The sequence below is a fragment of the Homo sapiens genome, chromosome 6 (assembly GCF_000001405.40).
Source record: "Homo sapiens chromosome 6, GRCh38.p14 Primary Assembly".
NCBI lineage: Eukaryota > Metazoa > Chordata > Mammalia > Primates > Hominidae > Homo > Homo sapiens.
This window is the reverse complement of record NC_000006.12, coordinates 52698211-52709986: the sequence shown is the minus strand read 5'-3', so window position 1 is coordinate 52709986 and position 11776 is coordinate 52698211.

Here is an 11776-nt window from a genome sequence, read left to right as displayed (position 1 = left end):
AGTGAGGACGACCAGAGGTCACTCTCGTCGCCATTTTGGTTTTGGTGGGTTTTAGCCAGCTTCTTTACTGCAATATGTTTTATCAGCAAGGGCTTTATGACCAGTACTTTGTACCAACCTCCTATCTCTTCCTGTGACTTAGAATGCCTTAACCATCTGGGAATGCAGCCCAGTAGGTCTTAGCCTTATTTTAGCTAGCCTATATTCAAGATGGAGTTGCTCTGGTTCAAATGCCTCTGATCTGTCCCCCCTCCCTTTTATAAGAGAACCCTTAATCATAAGGGTGGCAGAGGGACGAAGATCCATCTTCTGTAACTTCTTCAGGCTGAATAGGGGCAAAGATATTCCTGCCTAATTATCAGGGTCTCTTATATTCAGGCTAGAGAGGAGGTCAGTCAGAAAGCATTGGTATAGTGAGGGTCATTCATGATTCTTGAGTTCTGACAGAAGGTGATACCTGGAAGAATAATAAGTGTTCAATTTAAGAAAACACTCAGTAAGCTTGTCCTGCATTCCCACACAGAGTACAACAACAATATATTTCACAAGAGTAAAGCAAAATAAGTAAAATTACCCCATGTAAACTGAATTAGAAGGCTTTCCATGAACTGGGCAACTGTTGGAACCAAGCTGATATGGGTTCACTAGCTGATTCCAATGTACCCAGATTTAAAATAGTGATCCAGATTTTTACATTGCCCATCGCTTTTGTTTTTTCTGAGCAGCAGTTAGAGATCACTGGTTGGTTCACAGGAATAAGTAGGGATAGCCTAAATTGCAGAAACAAACTTAAAAACAACTGATGAGACTAGAATTTAATAACACATGTACCATAGTTCTTGAAACAATATTTCCCTCTCCAGTTTTCCATTTTTACTGAAGACACACTATAGTAAGACCAATTTGCTTTATTATACTTGGCCTGATTATTCGTATGAAGTGCAGCAAGAATAATTATTTTTCACCTAAGCTCTTTTTAAATTGGCTTTAATGGAACTCTGTTCCATAAAAAAAATCTTAGGCCAGGCGTGGTGGCTCACACCTGTAATCCCAGCACTTTGGGAGACCGAGGCAGGTGGTTCCCTTGAGGTCAGGAGTTCAAGACCAGCCTGGCCAACATGGTGAAACCCCGTCTCTACTAAAAATACAAAAATAGCCAGGTGTGGTGATGGGCACCTGTAATCCCAGCTACTGGGGAGGCTGAGGCAGGAGAATCACTTAAACCCAGAAGGTGGAAGTTGCAGTGAGCTGAGATCATGCCGCTACACTCCAGCCTGGGAGACAGAGCAAGATTCCATCATGAAAAAAAAAAAAATTTTTGGATAAGACTTTTTTTAGAGCTGAGCCCTCCCATGGGTTTGTCCCCTCAAATACCTACGAGTTGAGTAAATTCCTCTAATGTGAGTTTTAGCCAGCTTCTTTACTGCAATATGTTTTATCAGCAAGGGCTTTATGACCAGTAGTACTTTGTACCAACTTCCTATCTCATCCTGTGACTTAGAATGCCTTACAGCCAAAAATGCCAGGAGCCAAAAAAAGGCTCCTGGGCCTGTTACAAAGTGGCATTCTTTACTTACCACAGGTCAGAAACCCTGTGTAGACAAGGTATAAGGCCATTTCTCCCAAGGGACTTTTATTGGCTCCATAAGTCAAGTTTAATTCATTAAAGGAAAACACACCTTTCTAGTTAAAGCCTTGGTAAAATAACTAATATCGCCTGTTGCAAAAGAAAAGAGATTTTTATTGCACTTATGCAAATAACTATATCGCCATAAATTAAGAATACTCACAAATAGCTTCCAAATTCTGGAGAAATTAGGTAGAGACAAATAAAATGCTTCAATTTTTGTTCATAGGCATATACTTTCCTTAATTGCTAAAAGGTATAAATAACTAAAAAGAAAAGTTTCCTTGATTCTGATAAACAAAACAAAAGATTAGCAGCATTTTAAGCAAAAAGTTTAAAAGATTACTTTAGACTTCCATTAGTTTAGTCCATGCAGTTGTCTCTTGCTCTGCTTGATATTAGTGAACATTTCGGCCCTCCATAAGAGTTCTGAAAGTTGCTTCCTCTATTTTAATGTCACAATTTCCAAAGTTATCAGAAACTTGCATTTAAGAACACCTGGTAGAGTTCTATAGTTGATTATAAACCACCTTATAAAGAGGACCAAAACAAGACAATAATTGTTTGTGGATGACAAAACATCTTAGGATAGCCACATTCAGAAACATGATTGACAAAGAAATTTGGTTTTCTCTGTGGCACAAATGATTTTATGTGACAATTACAATTATTAATAAGATACATTAAGTCATATGAGAAGTATAGGAGTTTTCCATAATTTTGGTACATATACCAATAACACATTTATACAAATACAGCCCAAAGAAAACCAAACACCATTTCATATTTGACAATGCTTCCTGTATGACTTTTACACCAAATAAGCCAAATGTCACCGTTGCATTAGTGCATTATTGATGTCAATCTCAATTCTTAATAAAATCTTATAGACAAACGTATTTAATCTCAATCAGTTTGACCATAAGGTAAAATTTTCATAAAGCTTTTATAAGCTTTTACAAATTTTTGTTAAGGAGCAGATCATAAGCAAGTTTTTGCTTTAAGAAAAACCTGTTGTGCTTTTATTCCAAAGTTTAGTTTACAGAAAAACTGAATAATACCCCTTTAACTTTAGCCAATATGTTCATACACAGAATTTCTTTTACGAGATTAATTTTTCACAAACCTTCCACAACCTGCTTAAACCTTCAGCTTTACTCTATCTAACTGAAAACAATCCTTTAAACTTCTAATCTAGGCAAAAAAAATCCACATTCTCATGGCTTGTTATAATTTTTTTTTAACCAAAAACGCATTTCACTATTCTCTATATGCCTTGTGTGTAGAACTGTTTCTTCAGTAGTCTTAATTACAAATTAAATGTAACTTTTAGCAATATTCACTTATGGTGAAAAACCTGGTTAGTAAGCTATTTTAATTATGCACTAGGTGTGGAGCCTAGCCTAGGACACACCAGGCAGAAGTGCAGATAAGGGCTGACTCTTTCCAGCACAGCTAGGGGGCATGGCTTTCCACATGTCCCCAGGCCTTATCTAGAATCTAATGCTCCAAAGTAGGTAAATTGAACAATTTTCAAAAGTCAAAGAAGCAGTTTATGACCTTAAAGCATTTAGCAAACTTAATATCTGACCTGCATAATTTAGACCAAATGTTTATATTTTTGAAGATATTTTTATTTTACCAATAATCTTTAAAACTGCCTTTATTTCCCAAAGATTACTTAAGTTACATGAACTAAATAAAAGTCATTACACTTTTTACTCTTCTGACAAAAATTTGATTTAAAGCACTTATTTTTAAGCCAAATGATTAAAGCTCTTTTATATCACATGTTATATATATATATATAGAGAGAGAGAGAGAGAGAGACAGAGAGACAGAATAAGATAAAGGACTTATTCCCTAAGCTGGGAGTTGAACTCTGAACCCAGGCCACCATTGTGAAAAGAGAAACCATGGCCACATGGTTATAAGGTCAAGCTCCCAAGGACATAACTTGGTCATAAAGACAAGTTTGCTGGGGTGTCTTGAACAGCAGACTCATAGGGATCCTAGGCCCACATTCTATCCTAAAGTACTCCTCTCCATTATAGAATGCAGAAAGACACACAAAGCACACTAGATTTACTGAAGCTTAAGATTAACCTTGCAAATCCTTTTCCCCATTAATCAAAACTTTACAGAGCAGATAAACAGTAATTTTTACTGTTCATTTATCCAGTTGAGAGAGAGAGAGCACTGCCTGAGGTAGGATGGGGAAAGCGAAGAGCGAAGAGCTCAGGGAGGCCAGAGAAAGAGCCACCCATTGCAGCTGACACTGAAAAGTTCAGGCAGCCGCTTGTCAGCTGAAGGGATTTTTTCCAGCAGTTTCATCAGCTCTCAAGTTTCCATTTTTAGGGAAGAAAAAGCTCCCCATGTCCCATGATCCTGTACATGCCTAATCCTGTCACCCATAGCCATCGGCAAAGAATGTAAGACGGACTAATCCAAAGAGAATAGCAGTTAATGTCCCATAGTGCCAAACCCATTCTTAGCCAAAAGGGACTTTACCAAGAGAGGCCTCTAACCCCCTAAATCTTAGAAGGCATTCTAACCCTCCTAAGTTGGACCTCTAACCCAAGGTCGGTCAAGCATCCTTGTCTTTTATTAAGAGGGGCCTCTAACCCACTCTGTCTTAGGAGCAGTTCTAACTCCCCTAAGTTGGGTCTCTAACCCAATCCCATTATTTATCCCACCACTTACCCAAAGTCAGCCAATCAGTGCTACAGTTTATTTCCTTTGGGTCAGAGGTCTCCTCAGTATTGTCCCTTCTGTGGTCCACCGGAAAGATGTTACCAGACCTCACCACTTACCCAAAGTTAGCCTTTGGGTTGGGGTTTCCACACTATAGTCTCATCTGCATTCCAGAAAGATGTTAGAGGAAAGGGGTCCCGATCCAGATCCCAAGAGAGGGTTCTTGTATCTCGTGCAAAAAGAATTCAGGGTGAGTCCATAAAGTGAAAGCAAGTTAATTAAGAAAGTAAAGGAATAAAAGAATGGCTACTACGTAGACAGAGCAGCCCCAAAGGCTGCCCATTTTTATGGTTATTTCTTGGTGATATGCTAAACAAGGGGTGGATTATTCATGCCTTCCCTTTGGAGACCATATAGGGTAACTTCCTGACATTGTCATGGCATTTGTAAACTGTTGTGGTGCTAGTGAGAGTGTAGCAGTAAGGATGACCAGAGGTCACTCCCGCAGCCATTTTGGTTTTGGTGGGTTTTAGCCAGCTTCTTTACTGCAAACTGTTTTATCAGCAAGGTCTTTATGACCTGTATCTTGTGCCAACCTCCTATCTCATCCTGTGACTTAGAATGCCTTAAGTGTCTGGGAATGCAGTGCAATAGGTCTTAGCCTTATTTTAGCTAGCCCCTATTCAAGATGGAGTTGCTCTGGTTCAAACACCTCTGACAGCATGATCTTGGCTCACTGATGCTTCAGCCTCCTGGACTCAAGTGATCCTCCTGCCTCAGCTTCCCAAGTAGCTTGGAACGCAAGCATATATCATCACGCTCAGCTAATGCTTTTTTTATTTTTTCAAATTTTTTGTAGAGATGGTTCACAGTATGTTACCCAGGCTGTTCTCAAATTCCTAGCCCCAAGCCATCCTCCCACTTCAGCCTCCCAAAGTGCTGGGATTACAGGCATGAGCCACCATGCCTGGCCCACTTCTATCTCTAAAGCCACTCTACCCCTTTTCACAGTTCCCTATGCTTCCCGGGACTCCCTCTCCAGGTACCTCAAGCTGCCTTTGAATGTCCAGAGCCTGGCACCCAACCAAGGCTACCCCTAATTCCCCACAAGCCTCATAGACTATTGTGGGGTGGGGATGGGGGGCTTTTAATTTCCATATTTCTGTACTATTTTAACTTCTTCAAAATGACCATGGGTTATGTTTCTAAAAAAAAAAAAATACCTTTTCAAAGAAAAAAAAAGTAGGAAAAGGCACACTTTGCCTAACTCTGTGCTTTCATTTGAAGTCCCAATGACTCCTTGAAAATCCTCTTGAATGCTGATTCTAGGTTTCAGAAGATGCAATAATTCAAATACCAAGATTAATCTGGGAAGTGAAACTTCAGCCTCCCCTAACTCCACCCAGTTTCTCCAGGCTGGGCTTGCCTTGATTGGAAAGGGAGGAAGATGTGTATACAAAAAGAGAGAAAAGATTGGTATGCTAAAACCTTACCCCTTCCTGCAGGAAGAAAAGCTGGTCAGCCTTACTCTTTAATTCCTTCCATCTGTCTGGCTTCCTCACTCTCTTCCTATTTAAAAGTAATATACCAGTTGTTCATTTAGTTTTTTTTTTTTCAAGATATTTAGAACACCAATTTGTGAGGATAAATTCCATTTGTGAGAAAGAACACAGAATGCAAGTAGCCTTCTAGCTGAGAAGCAGCTTTAATTTGGGGCATAAGTTGCAAGTCCACAGCTTTGTGATCAACCTTGTGCTGCTCTGTAAGCTTGTATTTATCCTTCTCTGTGCAGAAGAGTCTCAATCAGTCTCTCTATGTTGATTTTCAAAAATCCTTAAGCATGGAGGGGAAGCCCAAGCTTTACTACTTCAATGGAAGAGGCAGGATGGAATCCATCTGATGGCTCTTGGCTGCAGCTAGAGTAGAGGTAAGATGTGGATTTATTCAGATTATTTTGTCTTGGGGTCACTGAGCATTTACTTAGGGAAAAGTTGTAGAAAACTCTTTACATGATTCCCAGAAGAAAAAGCAATTTTCACCACACGGTCTTTAAACATTGGGCTGTGAATTACATAGTTCTTTCAAATAAATGCCCAAATACTGTGATAACTGTTTGCTGATACTAAGCTCATCCAAGGTGATACAATAAAGTTCTATATGGTTAGCAAAGAAAAGAAGGAAGAATTTGTAAAGGGAGGAGGGAAGGGAGGGAAGGAAGGAGGAAGGAAGGAAGGAAGGAAGCAACTCTGCTTCTTCTCACTTCATTCTTACCATCCAGGTGTTGCATTCATTTAACTACATTTGTCTCAAGAATAATAAGAAACAGATCATTTTCTTTAAAAGTATAGAACAATCTTGTAGGTACTGACACAAGAGCATTATCTTTCACTGCCAAAAATATGTCTCCTATTTTTTAATGGATTTTTAAAAACTCTGTTCTCAACATACTTAAAAGCTAAGCTATTGAAGTTCATAAAGACCTTTCAAAAATAAATCTTTTTCTATATGCATATTAATTGTAAATATAAGGAATCAGCCTCTTCTGTAACCCATTCAAAAAAATTTCTGTAGTCATTCCAAAATGGTCTCTTAGATTCAAAGATGAAGGAGCAGGGAATTTTCTTTAAGCCTGTGTCCAGCTCCACTGTGGTTTAACATGGGGACAGCAAGTAACCCCGGTGACTTGATATTCACTAAAATGTTCTATACACTGTTTTACCCCTGACAGAAGGCACTAAGTTCATTTGTTCTCTAGAAATGGAGATACTTTATATGAATGCAGCCCAGAACATGGTTTATATTTAAATATTTTGTGAAATGTACAATTTTATGTAATCTGATAGTGCTACAATAATGCAAAAAAAATCTTTGTAAAAGGTTCATCACCATTTTTTTTCTAATCTTTTGGTTTGAATTTTTAAGTCTTAAATGAAATTTTTGAAAGTACACAAAGAAAAGTACAAAGAATATTGCAATAAACAAACATGATCTCACTACCTGGTTTGAGTAATTATTAATATTTTGTCATGTTTACCTTCAATATATATTTTTTAAAAACACAGACAGAATTGTGTGTGGTGGTAGGCACCTGTAATCCCAGCACTTTGGGAGGCCAAGGAAGGAGGATTCCTTGAGGCCAAGAGTTGGAGACCAGCATGGGAAACATAGCAAGACCCCGTCTCCACATAAAAATTTTAAAAATTAGCTGGGCATGATGGCACATGCCTGTAGACCTGGCTAATCAGGAGGCTGAGGCAGGTGGATTGCTTGAGCCTAGAAGTTTGAGGTTGCATTGGGGTATGATCGTGCCACTGCACTCGAGCCTGAGCAACAGAGCAAGACTCTGTCTCTAACAAGAAAGAAACTCCACAGTTAATATATTAATATAATCTTGTTTAAAATATAAAATACTAACAAATAAGTCTAAAATTTAATAGAACCATCACCTCCATCTCCACTTAAGCAACTTCTATCCAGTCAGTCCAGTCTTTATATTTTTGCACTTACTATGTGGGCTCACCAACCTCTGACTTGTGGACCTTTGGAAATAATTTACATAAACGGCTCCTTTTGTGTACTATTCTGTATTTTCCTCTTTACAATCAATATTATGTTTTTGCAATTTGTCCTTTTTGAGATGGATAGATGACAGATGGACAAATGATGAGACCGAGGGAGAAAGAGAGGGGGTGGAGGAAGACTCCGGTTCATTCCTTTATAATTGTTTTCAAAATTTCAATGTTTAGGTATTGTTGCATTAGAATTAGATCAGAATAAAATATGATAAAACATGCACAGAAGACAATGTGAATCCAAAGCCTACCTATCAAAAACACTCCAGTATCTTTGGAGGGCATTAAATATTTTTAGTGTAATTTTTTAAAAAGCTGAATTTGTCATTGCTTCTTCTGATGACCTAATTTTTACAAAACAATAAAAGGCCAATTCTCTTTTCTGAGCTATATGAAGCTCTTTATTGGATCTTCTGATTCCTCACCATTTTTTAGACTTAGGGTTGGTATTATTATGGTTTGTCAGAGTTAGATGGAAATTCTAGACAGTCATGCATTACTTAACAATGGGATACATTCTGAGAAATATATAATTAGGTAATTTTGTCATGTGAGCAACATAGAGGTTATTCTCCCAAACCCGGATGTAAAGACTGCTACACACCTGGGCTTTATGGTACAGTCTATTACTATTAGGCTACAAACCTGAACAGCATGTTACTGTAGTGAATACTGTAGGAAACTGTAATGCAATAATAAGTATTTGTGAGGCCGGTTGAGGTGGCTCACACCTGTAATTCCAGGACTTTGGGAGGTTGAGGTGGGTGGATCACCTGAGTTTGGGAGTTTGAGACCAGCCTGACCAACATGGAGAAACCCTGTCTCTACTAAAAATACAAAATTAGCTGGGCATGATGGCGCATTCCTGTAATCTCAGTTACTTGGGAGGCTGAGGCAGGAGAATTGCTTGAACCCGAGAGGCGGAGGTTGCAGTGAGCCAAGATCATGCCATTGCACTCCAGCCTGGGCAACAAGAGTGAAACTGTGTCTCAAAAAAAAAAAAAGTATTTGTGTATCTAAACATAGAAAAGTTACAGTAAAAATATAGTATTATAATCTCATTGTATAAGCAGTCCATGGTTGACTGAAATATTATGTAGCACATGACCGTAGCCAATAGCCACCTCCTGTGCCTGAAATTTCCTTGTGTTATGAGTCAGAGTAAATTTTCAAAAGTTTAATAATTATGCTCTAAGATTTACAATTTTGCTGAAATGGCTGTGCTTTGCTTGTCTTTGGAGCCCCTGCTGTACCTAACACAGCTCCTCACACAATTAGCCTTTAAGCAAAAGATAAAATTGAAGATTTTTAAAAGTTCAGGAGCGAAACCTCTTTGGTGTGATCCGGCGAAACTCAATCAAAACGTAGCAGAAAATTCTTCAGATAGTATCTAGTCTGAGAAATCTGGATGTACCCCATATAGTTTCATGTCCAGACCTAGAACTGTGAATGCCAGCAGGCTGGACTGCCTCCTATTTCCCACAACCCTACCTCTCCCTCCAACCTGCCACCCTCCCGCGGTCTGCCCACCTCCTCTCAGGGCTTACCCTGGTAAAGCCCTTGTTGGAATTGGAGATTGAGCTCTGCCTCTCTGATTCTTGGAGACTCGCCGGATCAGATAGCCTAAGTTACCTCAGAGTTCCTGACATGAAAAATTGTAGGAGAAACTGAAATCACAAATGTATGCATTTTTCATCACACTTCATAAATATTGTAAGTTGTAAGTAAATAGTGCTTAGGAAAAAATAAGTAAAGTAAAGCATGTTTAGGAAAAAAATGCTGCTTTTTGGAAAGCTTTGTTTTATACCTTGGTAATCACTGTCCATATTCTCATATTTGTTAACTTTGGAATATGATGACTTCCTTTTATAATAATTATTTACATAAAATTACACATTTACCAAGATGATAATATTGAAGATGTAGTAGGCTTGGTGAGAGGGCAACCTAGCTCTGGTTCTTCTACCATTTAGCTGAAAGACTTTAGGCAAGTCACTTGACCTCTCTAGGCTTCCTAAGCATCCAAAGGAAGCTTTGGTTAAGAAGAGCTCCAATATTATAATGTCAGCTGCTGCCTTTCCTTTTTTCCTGGTGAAAATATGAGAGAGAGAAAGAGACCCACCAACTCTCTGAAACATGGAAGTGTTTTGGAGCATCGAAGGTAGTGAAGAGAAAACATCTAGTACTGGGGATTGTAAAGCAGACCCAGAGAGAACTTATTTTGCAAAAACAAAGAGCAGAGGGGATAAAGACGAACTCCCTCCCCATATTCACACTCACACTCTACCCTTGCATACAGATTATTTTTAAATTTAGTAAGCATCCAATTTCTACTTCTGAATGCCACATTTCTGTTCATTAAGACATAGTCATAAGGAAAATAATATGTCTACTAAACATCTGCTCATTTTTAGAGAAAGGCCAATATGGGTGGCTGAAAATTTTTATCCGTATTTTCTAATTTTTCTACAATGAGTTTTAGCACTTCTGCAATAATATTGAAAATATTTTTAAATAAATAAGGGGAAGAGAGCTTTACATCCATCTTCTTTGTCTTATAAAAATGGCAGAATTCCCTGAGACTGAAATGTCTCTTACTCTTGTGTTTGAGAGTTGAAGTTAATGCTGGTCTTCAGGTATAGGAATGAGAGTGATAGGACATCAAGGTTTAACACTATTTAACATTAAGTACTTAGGAATTATGACCAGGAAGCTATGTATTAGCATCTTCTCTGAATATTTTTTATTACTCCAAATTGTAAAATTTAACATTTCAAATTATTTTTTATTGTAAAACGGATAGAATACAATCTGGGAAAAATAATATTTTCCAGTTTTTGTTGGGTTTTTACATCTCTATGCTAGAAAATATTAATAATACAGGAAAACTAATTGTATTTCAATTTTATGTTAAAATTATGCTATACAAAATGCACACATTTAATTGGTAAATGTATTTTAAAGCGAAAGTATCCAGAAGTTAATTGGTAACAATCTAACAATAACACTGATTAAAAACTCTTGTGAGTGGTAAGAAAAGATAGCTTGATTTATGTTTCTTTAAATATGCAACAAAGGATCTTTTAAGTTAATTTTGTTTTATTATTAGATTGTTACCAAGTAACTTCTAAGATTAGCTGCAACTTAATTCCTATGTCTAAGCCTCTTTGGCTTAAAGAGAAGGTATGTAATGAGACAATCAAATATTTGCCTGTTCTTTAGCACTAGGAATAAGGGGTAACAAACACCACCCAAGGGAAAGTTATGAGAAAAAAAATAACAAAGGTCAAATACTGAGCCAAGATGGGAGTTAGTCTTTACTATACATCATGTCATTTAACCATCATGACAGCACCACCAGTAGGTATTAGCTTCATTTCACATGTTAGGAAACTGAAATTAGAAGAGAGTAACTTATCTGAGCCAATTAAGGGGAGTAGCCTGCATTCAAATTGCGGCTGAAAAGTTTACCAGGCAAGTTATATCTGCACAATAGTAGACTATAGATATTTCTCAATCAACTGAGTTCAGTAAACCCTTTGCTTTGGTTTTATATAAAAACTTCCTTGCTTTCGTAAGATCCAGAAAACGACAGCATGGGTTCAACAACTTACTTGAAATATTGGTTTATTTGGTGGTTAGGCCTTTTACTTTCTATTCCTTTCTGTGATATCAACAGTAATAACAATAAAAATGTTAATAGCAACATATTCTTATATTCTTTCATTTTTCAATTTGAAGAAAACCTTTTTGAAACAGACGAAGAATTTGAGAAATTAATCCAAGGTGAGATAAACGCCTTGTTATTCGTGATGTTGCATTAGACCAAAGAGATGAGATGGTCTCTCCATTAATATGAAAGGCTCTCTCTCTCTCTCTCTCT